The sequence below is a fragment of the Homo sapiens genome, chromosome 2 (genome assembly GCF_000001405.40).
Source record: "Homo sapiens chromosome 2, GRCh38.p14 Primary Assembly".
NCBI lineage: Eukaryota > Metazoa > Chordata > Mammalia > Primates > Hominidae > Homo > Homo sapiens.
The window spans coordinates 182,574,259-182,594,436 of record NC_000002.12 but is presented as its reverse complement, the minus strand read 5'-3'; the positions used below and the strand labels follow the sequence as shown (position 1 = coordinate 182,594,436).

The 20,178-nt window shown below is 37.2% G+C and overlaps 1 protein-coding gene across 1 annotated transcript in view, besides 1 other annotated feature; it reads left to right on the top strand.

The window, feature by feature from the left end:
* The window catches only part of PDE1A (phosphodiesterase 1A), a 576,757-nt gene that overhangs the window by 122,361 nt on the left and 434,218 nt on the right, over positions 1-20,178 (top strand). The gene's annotated exons all lie outside the window — the stretch shown is intronic.
* Positions 2,056-2,688: an enhancer, noted in NCBI's record as "NANOG hESC enhancer chr2:183456476-183457108 (GRCh37/hg19 assembly coordinates)". NCBI's record gives its function as "activates a minimal SCP1, AML or CMV promoter by ChIP-STARR-seq in primed H9 embryonic stem cells {active_cell/tissue: H9 hESC(primed)}" and the evidence as "EXISTENCE:reporter gene assay evidence [ECO:0000049][PMID:30033119]".

Below are 20,178 nucleotides of genomic sequence, written 5' to 3'. Positions count from 1 at the left end.
ACTCAGTAGTCACTGTGTAGGAGTTGCTGTGAGGACTAGAAAGGAGACAGCACAGATCTTCAACAATTGCTTAAATCTTTACCAAGAAATACGCTGTGCAAAGTGCCATACTTAGACTCTATCTAGAGATGTCCACATTTTAGATTAGAGAGTTGTAAGCTTATGGTATTATCTTCACATTTGGCAATCTAGAAATAAATAAATCATTTGGGTTATATTTAATGCACATGAGTGTTAAAAGTAAATGAAAAATTTAGGACTAGGTTGTTTAAAATATATTTAGATCATAAACCATGATATAGGCTTTGAAAAGAATTAATCTCACCTTATTATTTCAGCAGGTCTTTTTATTTATAAAGTAAAAAGAATCTATGGTTATATTAGATTTCTAGACTTAAGGGCCCTTTTATAAGTTTAATTACTAATAAACAGATATAAGTAACAAAGGGAACAGATAAAAATTACTTCTGGATAGAAGAAGTGACGCCCATGCATTTTCAAGACAGTTTTATTTGAAGTTTCACAAATGGCCTGGAATCACACAAGGGAATACTCAAATATGCAGATGCTATTAGTTTTTCTGCATAAAGACTTGTCTGCCTATTTATTCAACACTCAAAAGACCTTTATTGGGTGTTCATACTGTGTTACACTACAGAGACAAAAGAATGCAGATGACACAGTCCCTGTCCTGTAAGACATGGTCCCAGTGGTAGAGACAAACAGGTAAACAGAAGACTTTATTTCATGTAACATGTAAGGGGTCTGCAAAAGTAAATTAGTCACTCTACATAATTATATATCTTTTTAGTATAAGATGCTGCTTGGCAGAAACTCCAAAGGAGTTTTTTCAAATCCAACACAAATTCCCTCCCACGGGTCTGACTCATCAGGAGGGATTATTCTGTCCTTATGTTAAGTGGAACCACATTATCCTATCTACTAGTCTAGATTTCCTGAGTACTTAATTCGAACAGTAGTGGATTGATGGGGCTTCTATATGATCTCTGCCAATCTCTTCCCAATTTTCTGGTTCAACTGCAGTGCTCTTCTGTTAGTATTCTTGACAATATCTGTTCTCTGATTCTTTAGTAATGAAAGGAAACTATAACTGGATTCAAGTGCAGACTTGCCCAGTTTAATCCCTAGGTTTGATCCCAAATTCCACCAGCAGGTGATAGGGAAGTCAAAAAGAGCTAACCTATTTGTGATTGTTTGGGGATGACACTGCAAGTACAGTAATGATTTTAACACTTCTGGGTAGATAACACCTTCTATGTTTTTAACAACACTTGTGCCCAGTCTTTTTCCCTGGAAGACTCTCAGGGGCATAGAACTCTCACTGTCTCCTAAGCAATCAGTGTACATTAATGGTGTTGTGTGTAGATACGTTTAATTATTGGGTAGAATTTATTCCTGTTTCTTCTGAGAGGGTCAACTGAACCTCCTTCTAGGTGGGCACCATCCTTGGCATTCACAGTTATCTTTAGGGGTAAGGCCTCTGGGTCACCTCGTCGTTTTATGCTTTCGGTTCCTAACTGGGTGGATTAGCAGATTCAAGTACACTGTCCAGAGAGGCACAACAGTGTGTGTGAAAGAGATGTCTGTTTTGACAAATGTATCAACTACCCTTTTTCCTTTTTTGACTTGTTTTCTGATTCATTCTTTCTTTTTCTTTCTGTGTCAGGCATAAAACCTCTGCCACCCTGACCAGGAGTATAATTTATCCAAAACACCTCCATGTGGCTGTGATTATTTCATTGGATTCACTTGATTTGCCCTGTCCTTATTTTTTTTCCTGTATTTTGTATGCAGAAAACATCTCCAGAATATCCAGTCCTGGATGGGGAGTAGCTGTCTTTTGTCAGCATAATCATACTTTTACTCAGTTCAAAATTGAAATAATCTAAAACCACCTCTTAATTTTCAGTCATGGAAGCTGGTGTTGGGAAGATACGTAACCAAGTTCAAGTGTAAATGCACCCCATGTGGATATAGGAATCTAGCACCATTTAAATCTTAATACTCAAATATTTATATACTTGCAAAACTTTTGCCCATAATTCATTCTTTGAACTGAACACCTGCTATAATGAATATGCTTGTGCATGAGCAAAATCATTTTTGTTGGATGAAACTCGGAGAGAAACTGTAGAGCATGCTACATCTCAGTTGTTCTGGCAGTAGGATTACAGCATGTATGCTTGTGTTTAAGTTATTGGCATTATTGCTATCAGCTTTATCACTTTTTTCCTGAGAGTTTAGCCTTAAGCTTTCCAGTGGTTGCTTCTCTGAGGTGCTTGGGGGCAATACCAAGCTGGCATCGAAATTAGAGAAAAAGTGTTTATTTGATTTGAAGTCAGAGGATGGTTAGTTAACATTTGAAATACTCTAATCAGGCATACACCCACCACAAGCAGTTAGTTAGCATTTGAAAGAATCTAATCAGGAGTGCACTCTTCAGAGGCACCTGCTACTAGCACTCTCATATCTTGCTTTCTGATGAGCACTGGTAGGTGTCCTAATTATGTTGTAAGCAATGTTAGAAATGATTCTTCACTGGTGGAATGAGAATGCTCAAGATGTATGAATTGGTTAGAAATGTTGCATAGGCACAACTGACTTAATTTAAAAAGAGACTAAATTTCCAGTGAACCAGGTGGCTTGACTAGTGGTTCTTGACTAGGGTGATTTTGCCTCTCAACCTCCTGTCCCAAAATATTTAGCAATGTCTGGAGACATTTTTGGATGTCACAGCTTGGGGGAGAGGCTGCTACTGACATCTAGTGGGTAGATACCCAGGGCGTTGTGGAAAACCCTACAATGTATAAAATCTCATCACTCACCCGCAATGAAGAATTACACAACCCAGAATATTGGTAGTGCCAAGGTTGAGAAATCGTAGCCTAGACCCATCAGGGTGGTATCCCAGGTCTAGAATGCTATTTGGTCCCATGTGTAGCCATTAACTGAGGATTCTGCCACCCGGTTCTGACTAGAAATTTAGCTGACTCTTGCTGCCAGAATACTGCTGCAATTCTCTCAAATGAATCTTTGATGGAACATGATAGTTGGAGTTCCCAAGAGGTCAGATAACTGGGACTTAACTGTTTTTGTGCCTGCTTGCTAATATATGTTTGAGTGTGTCACAGAATTTGATCTGAGACTTACACTTATTGTAATAGAACACCTGGTAGACTAAGAAATTTTGAGAATGAAGACCTATGGCCCTTATCTACCCCTCATTATTAGGGAGTATTTATATTTATCAAAGTATCCTAATGATTGTGCATGACTAATTTTGTTTAGGTTAGTTCTAAAAAGAATAGGTCCAGTTTCAACCTTTTAACACATTGATGATCCACCCAGTATCTTAAGGAACTACTGGCATTCTTAAATATTTGTTTTGTATATTCAATAGGTTATATTGAGCATCTTCTATGTATGAGGCATTGTTATAGTTCCTGTGGACACAATGGTGAGCAAAAATAGACACAGGGCTTGCTTACTGTGGGTGGTATTAGAAATATGTCTTAGATCCAATTGTGAGAACACAACTGAGTTGTTTCGCTAGTAGGCAAGTCATTTCCAGTGCAAATTAGTGGGTGCAAATAAATGGGACTATGGGAGTCACATGCTTTTCTCAATTTTACGTAACAGATATATTTTCCTCTCAGAACCAGGTTTTCCCTATATTTAATGGAAATCTTTGCATATAAAATATCTGGGGTAGTCGTTCATCAGTTAGAACATCTATAAGTACAAATTCTGCAATCATTGCTTTTATTTTATGAAAAAAATGGTGAATGTTTGGTAAAGTCTCTTGGTTATTTAAATTATAGAACTGATCCCTCTCAACTGAGTTGCATGCAGAATTAAGTTCCCCCTCCACTTGCTTCAATTTCATTCCCACAAAGCACCATTATAGTGTTTTTAATACTATATCATGTGCACACACATTTTTTTTTTGAGACAGGGTCTGGCTATGTTGCCCAGGCTGGAGTGCAGTGGCATAGTCATAGCTCACTGCAGCCCTGAACTCCTGGGTGGAAGAGATCCTTCCACCTCAGTCTACTGAGTAGCTGGGACTATGGGCGGGCACCACCATGCCTGGCTAACTTTTAAATTTTTTGCAGAGATGGGGGTCTCACTTTGTTCTTCAGGCTAGTCTTGAACTCCTGGGCTCAAGCAGTCCCCTCTGCCTCAGCCTCTTAAATTGCTGAGATTATAGGCATGAGCCACCATGCCTAACTACGTTTATACACATTTCAGTCTCCTCTGCCAGGTTGTGAGCTATATCAAGGTGGGTATGCTACGTCTCCACTACTTACTAAAGAATCTAGCACACAGAGGGAGTTATGTATGATGGAAGAACATCCAGAAAGGACACCTATAACTTGTCTTTATGGTTTGTACATATTGCTTAATGTTGACAAGAAATGGACGAGTTTTAGTTGTAGAAATTTCAAATGGAGAGCACCAAAAGCTAATAGCGTGGTTAGGATGTCCACTGGAGGAAGCCTGGCTGATTATTATACTAGTAAGTATATGTTATCCTAAATCTGGTGTAGTAACTCTAGGTGGGTATGTTAACCACTGGTATGATGGACTTCCATTGACCAGGCTTGTGGGACTGATGTATGGAATAGAAATGTTAATATATCAATATTTATGAGCATTCTTAAATGAGAGTATTCTCGATTTGTAGGCACATCCATCTGAAATCAGAATCAGAGCAGTGAGATTTAGATAGATACAAATTTCTTTAGCCTGATGTACTCGTTTCCCTGACAGGAAGAGCATTTTTCGTGGGATTGCATTACTCTAAGTATAGTTGGCTAAAATGCTTTCTTTCCTGGATGAGGCTTGGATGGGCACTTCTAGTTTTCTTTTTCTCCTTGAATTTTTGTTTTAGATGATTTTGTGACAGAATACCCCTGCTTTTTCATATCTTCCACCAAGTCATAATGGACATCTTTCTTTAAGGGTATTATTATATTCATTCAGATTGGATTTGATCTTTTGGGCTAGGGAATCTCTACACTTGCACACTATTCATTGATTCTGAATCTCAGTGGAGATTGTCACACTGTAGCTTCTATGAATTACATCAATCATACCTCTTTTTCCTTCCTTCCTTCCTTCCTTCCTTCCTTCCTTCCTTCCTCCCTCCCTCCCTTCCTTCTTTTCTTTTTTTCCCCTTTTTTTCTTTTCTTTCTCTTTCTTTCCCTCTTTCCTTTCCTTCTTCCCTTCTTCCTCTGCTATCTTTCCTTCTGTTTTCTCTTTCAGGCCCAGTCTTGCTAAGTTAAAAAAAACAATATAATTGTGTCAAAAGATCATTAAAATTATTATTATTATTATTATTATTATTATTATTATTATTATTATTATTTTGAGACAGAGTTTCACTCTGTCGCCCAGGCTGGAGTGCAATGGTGCCATCTCGGCTCAGTGCAACCTCTGCCTCCCAGGTTCATGTGATTCTCCCACCTCAGCCTCCCAAGTAGCTGGGATTACAGGCATCCGCCATCATGCCTGGCTAATTTTTGTATTTTTGTAAAGATGGGGTTTCACCATGTTGGCCAAGCTGGCCTTGAACTCCTGACCTTGGGTGATCCGCCTGCCTCGGCCTCCCAAAGTGCTGGGATTACAGGCGTGAGCCATAGCGCCCGGCTAAAAATTATTATTTAAAATTATTACCTAATGATTACCTTTTGTTGAATATCTTTAAAAATTTAAATACTGTGAGGAAAAAAGAATTCAGTTCTAACCTTCTTTAATAGGTTTTATAATCTTAATTAGACATTCAGATATGACCACTTAGAAAGGATGAGATACTTTTTAAATATGAGGTGACAGATAATATGAAAAAGGGTCATATGGTTGTTCATTTTTAAGACCTGCAGTGATATTTGAGTGTATTTTTGCTGAGAAAATTTAGACAGAAGTAATAAGAGTTTCAGGGGAAGGTTAATTTCTCCAGCACTTTAGAGTCTTTCTAAATATTCAGAATTTAAAATGTAGCAGAATTTATGGAAATTTAAAACTACAGGAACTTTTTGTTCACCTGTGAGAGAAAGATCAATGGACAAGAATCACTTTGAAATGTGCTAAAAATCAAAAGTAAAGATCCCTGGGCCACTTACTCCAGATGAAAAGATGAATCTTTACAAAACTGGAGAGAGAAGCTCAACTCTGGTTTTATTTTACCCAGCGCTCTCTTTTTCCCTGTTTTATGCTGTAGTGAACAGATGATGAGAAGGAAATGAATTCAAACTTACTTACTTGCAAATAGACATATTCCACAAAGCTTTGGTTTGAGTAAGGTTACTTAATTGCAAAGCAATGCTACCAATTTTTCATCCTTCACATTCCAAACTTCACATTCCAAACTTCACATATCAAAACCACATTCTGTTAAAACACAGTCACTGCTTGGTTAAAAACATTCTCCCAATATGTTGAGCATTTATTTGATTTTCTTCCTTGTGACTCAGATGTTATTCAAAGTCACATCAAGTTGTTTTCTCTCTCATGCTAAATGTCTTCTTTAGTTGTGTGGTATATTAAACAAACATTGGCTGCATATTTAGTGTTTTTAATTCACACAAAGACTAAATCCATTGCTTATGTAATGAACGTATTAGACATTTAATTTTTTAAAAATTGAGTTATTGTGGCTCAGAAATTCCCCAGTGAACTCTAGACAAATATAACTAGATATAACATCAAGACTAAGAAAGGGGAAGTCAGTAGAACTTGTCTAAACCCGATCAGCCATCGATTTGATTTTTTCTTAGTTTCATCTGTAAATGGCAATTAACTTTCTTTATATTCTGAAAGAACTAATTCTTAGTTAGTGCACAGAAAAGTTGGTACCCCACTTAGTTATAACCACGTGGAATAACTTCAGAATTTAGTTATTTGTGCAATAGTGAAAAATGGCAAATCATTTTAGTTTAAATTGTAGAGATAATTTCTCATTCTTTTATGGTTAGACCTGGAAGATTGATGGTCTCTGTATTGGACCTGTTAAAAGAGTGGATAAAGCTTGAAAAGAGTGCTGTGTTGGAGAAGTTCTAGGCTGTCATGGAAGTACCCAAGGACTGACATATGTTAGAAGGACATTTATTTCAAGTTATAAGAGTCAGGGCAGGGGACCCCAACTAGCATTGTCCTGAGGAGCAAGGTCATAGCTCATCATTATCCTCAGAATAAAGTCAAACTCCTTAATATGAAACACAAAACCTTGTGTGACCTGGTTCCTGCTTACTGTTCTCTGTGCCCCAATAATGCTGACCTGCAGGCATTTGCCTACTTGGTCTCTTTGTCTGGAGCACTCTGTGCCTTTTAAATTTTTCACTGAGCTAATTACCACTCATCTTTCTTGTATGTGCTTAAGTGCCTTTTCCTTTGTGAAAAGCTTTACACCCCCCACCCCTGCCAAACTGGGTTACGTGCCCTTTCATTATGCTTTAGTAGTGCTTTGTTTTTATCTCTTCATATACTAAATTATAATTAACAGATTACTTGTCCACACTTATAACCAGACTTTAGGATAGGGCAACCACTGTATCTTTCTTACTATTGTAGTCCAGTATTTGACACATAATATGCATCTGATAAACATTTATCGAATGGATGAATGCATGAATAAATGTCAGTGTAAAATAGTGATTTTCATCTAGGGGCCATTGATCTTGCCTACTAGGGTATATTCAGCAATGTCTGAAGACGTTTTTGATTGACAAGATTTGAGAGGGGTGGTGTTGGCAGTATCTAGTCAGTAGAGGCCACTGTAGGATGTAAACATCCTATAATGCATAACAAAGACTTGTCTGGTCCAAAGTGTCAATAATGCTGAGATTGAGAAACCTAGCTACAAATAATACCATGTGCAGTGTAACATGTAACAGGCAATGCAAAGTTGTCCTCAGAGGAAAGTAGTAGAAAAAATAGACAGTCAAAGTAAATAATTGGGAGGTTTGGAAGCAGTTTTAAGACAAGGAACAAGAAGCATGATTCAGAAGCAAAGTCATGGAGAGCAAGAGGCACCAATCTTCCCTTGATAGTGGTGGTCTGCATAGTGGGCTGAGTAGAGTAGTGCACAAGGTTCAGGCTGGGATGTGTTCTCTAAAATATTTATTGTCCTTTTCTTATCCCTTCTAGTTAATTGCTGTTTTACATTGCCTTGACTTCTCCTTAATGTCCATAAGATATTTTTGTCACTCAATTTTGAAGTTTAAAAAAATAATATTCTATTTGAATATTATAGATTATTTACTCGGGATGAATACTGAAAATGAATACCTCATAATTTGTAGGAGAAAGATGGGGGAGATAGAACCGAAAGTGCTTCTAATATGGGAAATGCGAAAACATTCAGTATTTTGACCTGTCTTAGAAATAGGTATACATTATTCTATATCATCTGTGTAATATCTTTTTGATTACAGTTTACACATGGTCAAGCATGGTAATACCATTTTTTTCTACATGTATATATGAAATGCATCTAAATTTAAGTCAAATCACCTTTCAAAATCATGTTATTGTAACAAATGGGACCAATTAGTAAACAAGAATATGTTTAAAATATTACATAAGGACAGATGATATTTAACTGGCTTTGTGATTTATGATCTATTATTCTGATTACTAATCAGACTTACTGTATCTATGGGAACAAAGAGGAAAATTATTTTTGCCACCAACGAATATACAAAGATGAGAAATATTTTGCTTCTCTGAATAATCAGCACAGATATTGCCCTTCTTGTTTTCCTTGTGTTATTATCTGTTCTTGCCAGGAGAAAAGCAAAGTCATGTGGGTGGGGAATAGAAAGTGTAAGATTAAGAAAGTGGACTGAAAACCCACTTTCTTAAAGGTGGTTATAGACTATCAATTTTTTTAAGAGTTCTGAATTGCTTTTTGAATGAGGAAATAAAAGTGCTCAAACCTAGGTAGTTCTTAAGACAAATCTATTATTTGACTCATGAATACGATCACTTTCTGTGGTTCATATACAAATTTTTATATGTGAATTTTAATGGAGAAATCTCTGATTGAGGACATTGAAGAATAAAAATTTCCCAAATAGGAGTGAGACTCCCAAAATACACTTCATAAAAATAACACGCCATTAGTTTTTGAATGAGATACTTTATGGGACATGTTGCTATCACGAATCTAATTTTCATCAGGATCTCTAGTGTGATGAAATTTCCTGGAAGATGTCAATTCTTTCCAGGTGATTGTTGCCAAATATTAAAGACTAAATGGGATATACATGAGAGTTAGAGCTGAAATGCAATTCCTGCCAATTTATATCCAGTTCTTATTCTCCTACTGAAGTTAAAACATTACTGTGCTCCTCTATTTAGGTGTTAAAAGCTTTTGCTTTATAACGTTTTTCAAAAAATCAAGAAGTTGAAGAACCCTCTTACTTTTTTTACGTCCAGGTTTATTGTTTGATTTTGTTTTGTGTATTTTTGTTTTTGTAGAACCAGCTCAAAAACAAAGCTTTTCTCATATCACCTTTCACAGTGGATTGAGTCTGTTCTGTTTGTGGAGTTAATTATTGGGGTGGGTTTTCCTCCTGTGCTCAAGATAGCTTGAGGCACTTGCTCTTGGGTGAGGACAGAGGAGAGCCAATGCCCTGGTGTAGCCAGGCTTTCTGCTGAGAGGTGAGCCTCAACCACAAGTGCTGACAGTTGCTGGCAAGAGACTCCCATCACCCTAGGAGGGCAGAGTTCACTTTGGAGAAGTCTCTGACTCTTCTCTGGCACATACTGTCAATTCCCTTTTAGATGGTGAGCATTGCACAGCTGTCTCAGACACTAGTGGCCTGAGCAGGTGACGACAGCCACCGTCTGTCTCACTTACACACATCATCTCACATATGACTTACAGCATGACGTCCAAGTGATTATTATTATCTTCTTTTTAAAGACAGGGAATCTGAATCTTTAAGTTAAGTAGTTTGCCTGTAAAGTCACAGAGATAGTCAGCGGTAGAGCTAGAATTCAAACTGAAGTCTCTCTAAGTCCAACACTGCTGTGCTTTCTCTCTGCAACTCCTTGTGGCTCCTTGCAAGATCTCTAGAGCTGCCTTTTTAACTAACAGAGATAGTCAGCAGTAGAACTAGAATTCAAATTGAAGTCTCTCTAAGTCCAACACTGCTGTGTTCTCTCTCTGCAACTCCTTGTGGCTCCTTGCAAGATCTCTAGAGCTGCCTTTTTAACTAACAGAGATAGTCAGCAGTAGAACTAGAATTCAGATTGAAGTCTCTCTAAGTCCAACACTGCTGTGTTCTCTCTCTGCAACTCCTTGTGGCTCCTTGCAAGATCTCTAGAGCTGCCTTTTTAACTAATAAGAGAATGTAGCATTGGCCAGCTTTCTAAATGAGATCACGTAATATCTCTGATTTCTTATCAGGAAATCAGAGGTTGAAGGATTTAATAATATTATTGAATCTCTTGATAGGAATTGTGACCCAATTCTTGTTAATTTTGAGTTCCAAGTTTTAAATCATCCCAATTTCAACTTCTGTGCAAAAATTTAATCACCACAATATGCTTACCTCAGGTGGGTCTTCTGTGGAACACTAAATAGGTGATTTTTAAATTCATGCGAAACATTGTATAATGAAGGCAAAGACCTGTCACTGGGAATACAGTATAGCAGAAATATGTGACTGTTTTTTTGATGTGAATAATGCAGAAAAATTGCACTGGAAAAAGTTAAACAGGCAAGGAAGACTTTATTCAAGGCTATTTCAGTAGAGGAGAGAGATTGAACCCAACTTCCCCAAAACAAAGGGCTGGAGAGTTTTTAAGAGCCGGGGTGAGGAGAATCATAGATTGCCTGTGTTTGCTAATTGGACTTACCCAAAGGAAAAGTAAACTTTCCATATCTTCATGACAGGAGGCAGGTTTACAACTTAGAGCAAGGCATCCATGGATGATGATGATTGCATTTTGGACGGATGGCTTCCAGCTCCTTGAGAAAGGCATTTTGCTCTTACGTCTGCAGTTGAAGAAAGAAAAGCCAGATGTTTCAGATAAATAGTGAAACAGATTTCTACTATATCTTTATAATAATTTTAAGTGGTCAGTTTGCATATATTATTCTGATAATTTCCTCAATTATTGAATTTTCTTTGATTATAGATATTTTGCTGTTCTCTTTCAATTCTTATTAAATGCGTAATAGCTGAATCATATAGTGTCAGCTATTGAAAAAAGAACAGCCTCTCTTATTAAAAACAAAACCCAGAAGCTCCATGGATTTTACCACTGGAAGGAGATGATTTTTGAAGAGGAGAGCAGGTGAACAAGCAGCTGTTTCTTTGTTCTCCTGGATTTATCTTTGTCTTGGGGTTTTTCTGTTCTAATCACTCCCACCATCATCAAACCATTCTCTGGGGCTATGCTGTAGTTATTTTAAAGGTCTGGTTCAAGCGCAAAAAGGAACCCCATTTTCAGTTCTTTTTATTACAATTAATATAGCATGAAATATTCAAATATCAGCCAAACACAGAACCACAAATATAAGGATACAAGCACAGAAAAATGTGGGAAACAAAAATGATCTGACTTAACACAGGTTATATCTCTGATCCTATGGTCACTAGTGTTTTTCCAAGTCCCATAGGCTCTGTCCGCTAGCTTAGTAGTAAGTTTCTTATAACTGGGTCTATCCCTTTGATCTCAACTCAAGCTTTCTCCTATGTGTTCTGTAATATAGACCTTAGCCCCACTAGGGCACTCTCTTCCTTGCAGACATCTGAGATTTTGCATTTGTGCATCATTGTACGAGCTGTTCCCCTTGGCCCGAGTGGCACTCTCCCATCTCTTTTGTCCATATATCCTTACTCATTCTTGAGATCTCACATATTGATCAAGTCTTAGTGTTTCAGACTTCCACAAAATTAATTCCTGTTTCTGTAGTGCCTTTGATATTATTTAAAAATTTCAGTTATACTGTTTTATTTTTTAATCTGGTATCTATCCCCTTTGTTAGGCCTGGGTTCCTTGGAAGCAGAGACTACATCTTAATGACCATCTGCGTGTAGCATAGCAACAAGCACATACCAGGCATTCAAAAGCTTTTTGCTAAATTACATTGATCAATTTTTATGCCCTTTTGGAGAAGATGTCCACATTTTCATGCCAACTGACATAACTTTGAAGATTCTTGCCCAGTTCATTGCTTTATATTTCCAACTCCTTGGAAGTATCCATCTAACCAGACATTTTGATCCTTGCCACCTTTGCATTTAAAGCCAGGAAGGCCTATAAAATGAAATTCTGAGGTGCAAGTGGATGGTTAGGGTGGAGGGGGCTGTCAGGTAATTTACTTTATTTTTAATATTAAGCTAAACATTTTAAAATTCTACTACATGAAATTGCATGCTTTGGTATGTGATTCAGTATTTCCTTATTGTCATTTTTAGTTTTACCTGGAGCAGTTGGAGAGCTTGCTTTAGTATTGTATTTTAAAAACGCATAGGATTTCTATTTTTCTCAGTATCTCAAACCAGATAACAAAACCATTCTGCCTCCCCCAGGTGATACAGAAGGGGGGTTAATATGGAAGCTGCCCTCGAGTGGATTGAGATCAGCTCACGTTCTGGTTGAGTCTCTAGTGAGCTCTCCAGTTGCTAGCCCTGTTATTTCACTGCCCTAGGCTTCTGTTTCTTCAGCTGTTTCTGTCCAGATAAAATAGTCTAAGGTTTTCCAAGTACAGGTTTTTCTTCTTGGGTGTCCTATACTAACTTGGTTCTGATTTCTCAATCTGGTATTTTCTTTGATTTCTTTGTAACAGGGAAGACTGACAGTTAACCAATGTGAGATACAGAGAATTATAACATAGAAATAATAGATTGATTTGATTTCTGACATGGGTGCAGGTCTCCCAATTATTCCTTTAGGTAAAAATGAGAAGTATGCTGGAGGGCTCACACACAGGGGCATTTGTGTGCAAAGGCCCTTCATTGGAGAATATGGGTGCTATCTTTTGAATGCACAGAGCCTTTTTGCATGCTGAGAGAGTCTGCAGCTATTTTCTTTGGCAAGAGAGAGTCTCCATGAGGCCGTTTGAGGTTTGTACCCAATTCTGTTCTTGTCTGAGTCTACACTTGAAGAATTAAACCTGTGAGACTACTCCAACATCCTTAGTTTTTCTTTACCAGGTCTTTGGGGAAGATAGGATGGTCTTCACTGACTTTGTGCAACAATTATGAAAATAGGTATCTTCCAGGGACTAAAATTTGCTTTGGTATAATTAAAACTAGCTAGCAGGTACAACTTTAAATCACTTGTTTTATTGTCATCAGACTCAATTTATGAAGAAAATGATGACTGCCTATGTGGTCAACAGCTATGGTTATCTTATTAGATGTTATCTGATATTGTCAGCAATACTGAAAGCTGTAGGATGGTAAGGTATTTCAGACTGGGAGAGTAAGAGTGACAAGATACAGAAAAGAGGCATATATATTTTGCAGCTGGGAGATCATTTTTTTGCAAGGCATGTAATTTATGTGGAATAATGGGGAAAAAGGGACAAAAATTACTTATCTTCCCAAAAGATAAGTAATGAAGTTATATGACTAAGGCCATTGTTGAGCGGTGTCAAGCAGAGGATGTTTACAAATGCTGTTAAAAGGAAGTGCACCTTTATTAAATATCCCTTGGCTCTTAGTAATACATTTAAATTAAAAACCTACGTTATTCCTGGTACTTACAGTGGCACTAAGTACATTGAAAATGGATTGACTGAAAGCCAGTCTTCCATTTAAGTTATAGTAAAATCTTTCTCAACCTTGCTATGGACTGAACTGTTTCCCCTGGCTCTCCACCCCCAAATTCAGTGCTGAAGTTCTAACCTGCAGCACTTCAGATTGTGACTATATTTGGAAGTCAAGTCTTTAAAGAGATAAAATGAAGTGAGCAGGTGGGCACTAATCTAATATGACTAGTATCTCTATAAGAAGAGAAAATTTGGACACAGACGGGCACAGCAGGCAGACCGTGTAAAGACTCAGGGAGAAGACAGCTACCCATAAGCGAATGAGAGAAGCCTCAGATGAATCCAATCTGGATCTCAAATTTCTAGCCTTCAGAACTGTGAGGAAATAAATTTCTGTTATTTAAACTTCCTACCTGGTCTGTGGTACTTTGTTATGGTACTCCCAGCAAACTATTAATTAATATAAGGTCACATTCTGAGGTACTGAGGGTTAGGACGTCAATATACCATTTTGGCCAACACAATCCAACCATAAGAAGTTCTCTGTGATACAGTGAATTCCTTGTTAAGCAAGGCAAATTTAGGAAATTCAAATGATTAATTTGTGTGTTTATTTTAGTTATCAAAGGAGTAGTTATAGTTTGTTTTGAAGATGTTGTTAGCCTGAATGAAATGGAAACAGGGTCTGTGTATTTATCTGCATTTAATGAAGTCACATTGCTCATGATCAGCTATAGTGAAATATGTGCTGATAGCATTTTTGGGGACAAGAAGAGTTAGCTAGACATTCTTTCACTGTTTGTTGTTCTCATGGAATTAATGCCCTCCATTTGTGTTTCTTCTAGTCCTATAATGATCATTCTTTTGTCCAAATTATACAAGTGTATACCACTTTATTATAATAATTTATATGAAAGTAATTTAGATTTAAAATGCTCATTTCTCCTTTTTTTTTTGGGCATACCATGTACTTGCTTCTAGGTATGATGGAAAACAGGAAAACAGTTATCCCCGTCTTTCAAACTTGTTCTCCTTTCAGACTTATGCCAACAATGACAGTCAAAGTGGCTCTATATACTCATAGCCCTTGGCTGATCTTCAAGCTGCTGCAGACCATGCCACTTGGGGAGAACTGAAAATGATTCTGATCCCTTGCAGAAGAAATCTTCATTAGCTGTGTTTCTTGCTAATTTTTAGATATTTGTCTCGCTGCTTTGCTATGAGCTACTTAAGGGCAGGGACTGAACTCTATAGCAGAGTGCCTAACTCCTAACATTTATTGTCCATGTATTATATGCCTGCCACCTTGCTAAGGGAGTGACCTCCCACTTTATAGATGAGCAAAGGGAGGCCAACAGAGAGAATAAATAAGGAGTCAGATGCTACGTAGCAAGCAAGTGAGTAGCAGACAGAATTTGAACCAGGCAGTCTGACTCCAGAGCTGGGGTCAGCCCCATTCAGCAGCAGAGATGGTCAACTAATAAGTATTTCTTAAATCCATTGTAGCATGTTTATTTTGAGATACATTAAGCTCACTGTTTTCCTGTTATAATCAAGTTAGAATTAAGTGGCTCTGAGCTTTCAAAACTGTTTTCAGGTTATTTATTCACTTCACTCAAGGTGAAAACATTTGTTTTTCCCTTTTGTGTGAATAGATAACTAAGTGTCTTTTAGGAAAAAGAAAGAGAAGCAACTCCATTGCCTAAAACTTGACTTTACAAATTGTATTTGTTGAGCAGAACTTCAGAATTTTGTCTTTACTAGATTAAAAAATTATATAATAGTACTTTGTTATTGCAACAAGGTCACCATGTGAGATCTAAGAAGAGGCTGATAATACTCCCTTCAACCTTCCTTCAGGCCTAAAGTAACCCATGTTAGCACCTCACTGTCTACCATTCCTTGCCCTTTCCTGAGCTCACAATAGGGCAAAACTATGTACACTGCTACAACTTACTGTTTGCATGGAGTGGAAATACCATTCTTTCAGGTTCATGTAAAAAAGCTAGCTTATTTTTTAAATAGCAGTATACTTTTCTATTGTATAAATGTACTTATTCAACCATTCCCTTACTGATGAACTTTGGTTTGTTTCCAGGGCCCCTGTCCTCTTTGCTGTTAAATGATAAGCTTATGAAAAAATGAATCTGTTGGTCAAAGTACATGAATATTTTAAAATAGATGTTGCCAGGTCACATTATTCAAAACTTTACTAATTTAAACCTTAATAATATAGACTTTCTTTTTGAAATCATAAAATATTGCCTTTTTAATGTTAGAAGCTTTAGGTCTCTATTTTGTTTCCTATGTTTGGAATAAAATTTGTAAGAAACTCAGATGATAAGCTTAATAGATACATAAGGTATAAAAGAGGACCCTTAAATTTGCTTTGTAAGAAACTCAGATGATAAGCTTAATAGATACATAAGGTATAAAAGAGGACCCTTAAATTTGCTTCCTGCCAAAGAGTAGAAGGGAGTTTAGAAGGAAAGAGATCCATGTTATGCTTTATTATAGAGGTTCCATGATTTAGGCTGGCTCATGACTTCGGGCTTCTTCTAGACCAAAGCTCATGGTTCAGAAAATGGAAAAAGAAAAGCCTTCTTTCTGGTCCTTGTGCAAAGACACTTTTTAATTTTTAAATTTTAACTAATTCTTCCTTGCTCTTTCCCCTCCCTCCCTCCGTCCCTTCCTTCCTTCCTTCCTTCCTTCCTTCCTTCCTTCCTTCCTTCCTTCCTTCCTTCCTTCCGTTTTCTTTCTTTCGACAAAGTCTTGCTCTGTCGCCCAGACTGGAGTGCAGTGGTGAGATCTAGGCTCACTGCAACCTCTGCCTCCCAGGTTCAAGCGATTCTCCTACCTCAGCCTCCTGAGTAGCTGGGATTACAGGCACGGGCCACCACACCTAGCTAATTTTTGTATTTTTAGTAGAGACGGGGTTTTGCTATGTTGGCCAGGCTGCTCTTACCTATTGAGAAGGTTCTACCAACTCTCTTTGGCAATTCTGTAAGTGCAATTTTATGAATGCAATTCTATGAGTGCAATTTTAGAGGTGATCTCACACATCGGACCTGCTGCCACATTCAGCATTCCCTGATTATCATGTTTGACCCCTTCACCTCTTGCTTTAGTTATTCTAAACAGTGACATTCTGTCAGAAGTCTTGTGTGACTATTTATCTTTCTCTGTTTCTAAGCAGTTCACATGTCAAAGAATACAATATCTAAGACATCTGGCTGTCCGAGCTTTGCCATCTGGGGGAAAGAGTTTCTCTTAATCAATTTAATCAGACTCTATATTTGTAGAACTGACAAATCTGCAAATTCAGGATGGGACAGAAAGTTTATTCTAATTAATTATTCTTAATTTGGTAACAATATGAATATTTAAATTAGTACTGCAGCATGGCTTATAGAGATGTCAGATGGAACTGAATTTGAAACTCGGCTTCACCTCATAATGGTAGTGTAGACTTGGCCAAGTTAATTATATTCTAAGCTTCAGATTCTTTCTGTATAAAATTGGGCTAAAATATACATCTCTCAAAGTAATATGAAAAGTAAATCAAGTAGCAAAAGAAAAAATGATCAATTAAACTACATTGAAATTAAAAACTTCTGTGCATCAAATAATACAATCAATAGAGAAAGCAACTCATGGAATTGGAAAAAATATTTGCAAATCGTATATCTGATATGGTTAATATTCAGAATATATAAATAACCTTTATAATGCAAGGACAAAGAGCAAACAACCAAATAAAAATGGGCAAAAACTTGAAGAGACATTTTTCTACTTAAGATATATATGAAAAGATGCTTATAATCACCAATCATTACAGAAATGTCGATTGAAGTCATAAAAACCACTGATACCATCTTCTATCTACTGGTGATATCAGTGGTTTTAATGGCTTTAATTGGGATGGCTACTATAAAAAACACAAAACAAAATAACAGATTTTGGCAAGATTTAGAGAAATTGGAACCCCTGTGTACTGTTGGTCGGGATATAAAATGGTGTAGCCACTGTGGAAAACAGTATGGTGGTTCCTCAAAAAATTAAAATTAGAAGTACCATATAATCCAGCAATTTCACTTCTGTTTATATACACAAAAGAGTTGAAAGCAAGATCTTGAAGAAATATTTGTACACTGATGTTCATAGCCACAATATTCACAATAGCCAGAAAAGTGGAAGCCACACAAGTGTTCGTTGGTAGATGAATGGATAAGAAAAATGTGGCCTATACATACAAAGGAATATTATTCAGTCTTAAAAAGAAATGAATACTAACATATTCTACAACAAGGATGAATCTTGAGAACATTTTGCTAAGTGAAACAAGCAGTCATAAAAAGACAAATATGGTGCCATTCTACTTGTAAGAGGTACCTACAGTAGTCAAATTCATAGAGACGTAAAGTAGAAGGGTGGTTACTAGGTGCTTAGGGAAAAGAGGAATGGAGACTTTTGGATTCATGGGTGCAGAGTTTCAGTTTTGCAAGATGAAAAGAGTTCTGTAGACGAATGGTGGTAATGATTATATGACAATTTGAATTTATTAAGGCCACTGAACTGTACACTCAAAAGTAGTTAAGATAAAAAAGTTTGTTATATGCATTTTATCACAATTTTTAAAAAGCAAATCAGATAATGTATATACAGCACCTAGTGTGTTCTTAATATAGTACTAATTAATTAATTAGTATTAGTATTAATAATATATATTATAATATATTAATACTATATATAGTATAATAATATGATACTATATATAGTATTAACTTTATATATATATAAAGTATTAACTTATATGATCACAAGGTCCCACAATAGGCTCTCTGCAAGATGAGGAGCAAAGACTAAGTAATTAATAATTAATAATACTAATTATTAATAATTATAATATATAATATATTATTAATACTATATGTAGTATTAAGTTTTTATATATATCTATATATATATAGATACATAATGGAATAATTGTGTCTCCTGGTGGCAGCGTTCCTCCCCTGGAACTAAGACCTCTAGGCTGGCAGACCCTGGTATTGTTTCTCCCATAGCCAGGATTCATGGGTCCAGGAATCAAAGGGCAGAAGTGGAAGTGGCACCACTCACCATCACCCCCTAGCAAAATTTTTGCTTCCTGTTCCTGTGGCATTATGTTCTGCTGGCCTAGAGGTCTTAGTTCCAGAGGAAGGAACATTGCCACCAGGAGTCACAACAATTATTCCATTAAACTAGAAGTTAAGATTGCCACCTGGACACTTTGGGCTCCTCCTATCTTTAAGTCAACAGGCTAAGAAGGGAGTTATAGTGTTGGCTGGGGTGATTGACCCAGACTATCAGTATGAAATCAGTGTACTCCTCCACAATGGAGGTAAGGAAGAGAATTCGTGGAATACAGGAGATCAATTAGGGTGTCTTTTAGTATTATCATACTCTGTGATTAAGGTCAATGGGAAACGACAACAGCCCAATCCAGGCAGGACCACAAGTGTCTCAGACCCCTCAGGAATGAAGGTTTGGATCATTCCACCAGGAAAAAAACCATGACCTGCTGAGGTGCTTGCTTAAAGCAAAGGGAATACAGAATGGGTCGTAGAAGAAGGTAGTCATCAGTACCAGCTACAACCATGTGACCAGCTGCAGAAACGGAGACTGTAGGCTGGGCACAGTGGTGGCTCAGGCCAGGCACGGTGGCTCATGCTTGTAATTCCAGCACCTTGGGAGGCTGAGGTGGGCAGATCATGAGGTCAGGAGTTCAAGACCAGCCTGGCCAACATAGTGAAACCCCGTCTCTACTAAAAAATACAAAAATTAGCTGGGCATGGTGGTGTGTACCTGTAGTCCCAGCTACTTGGGAGGCTGAGGCAGGAGAATCACTTGAAACTGGAGGCAGAGCTTACAGTGAGCCGAGGTTGTGCCAATGCACTCCAGCCTAGGCAACAGAGTGAGACTCTGTCTCAAAAAACAAAACAAACAAACAAAAAAAACGTAGACTGTGATTGTCATGAGTATTTCCTCCTTTTGTTAAAAACATGTTTGTGCATGTATACGCTTGTACTAAGAAAATATTTTTTTCTTTATCATTTGACATAAGATTTATCAACTTCATATCAGCATTTAAGTATTGTTAACTTTATGTAATAGTATTTGGGTTGGGGATTGGTGCGTTTCTGGTTGTACAAAGGGTAGTTGTATTATGTGAGGTGTAATTATGACATTATTGTCTTTATTTGAAGATTATGTATGATCTCAGGAGATGTGTATGGGTTCAAGTTGACAAGGGTTGGACTTGTGGTTGTTAATACTGAGTGTCAACTTGATTGGATTGAAGGATGTAAAGCATCGACCCTGAGTGTGTCTGTGAGGGTGTTGCCAAAGGAGATTGACATTTGAGTCAGTGGGCTGGAGAA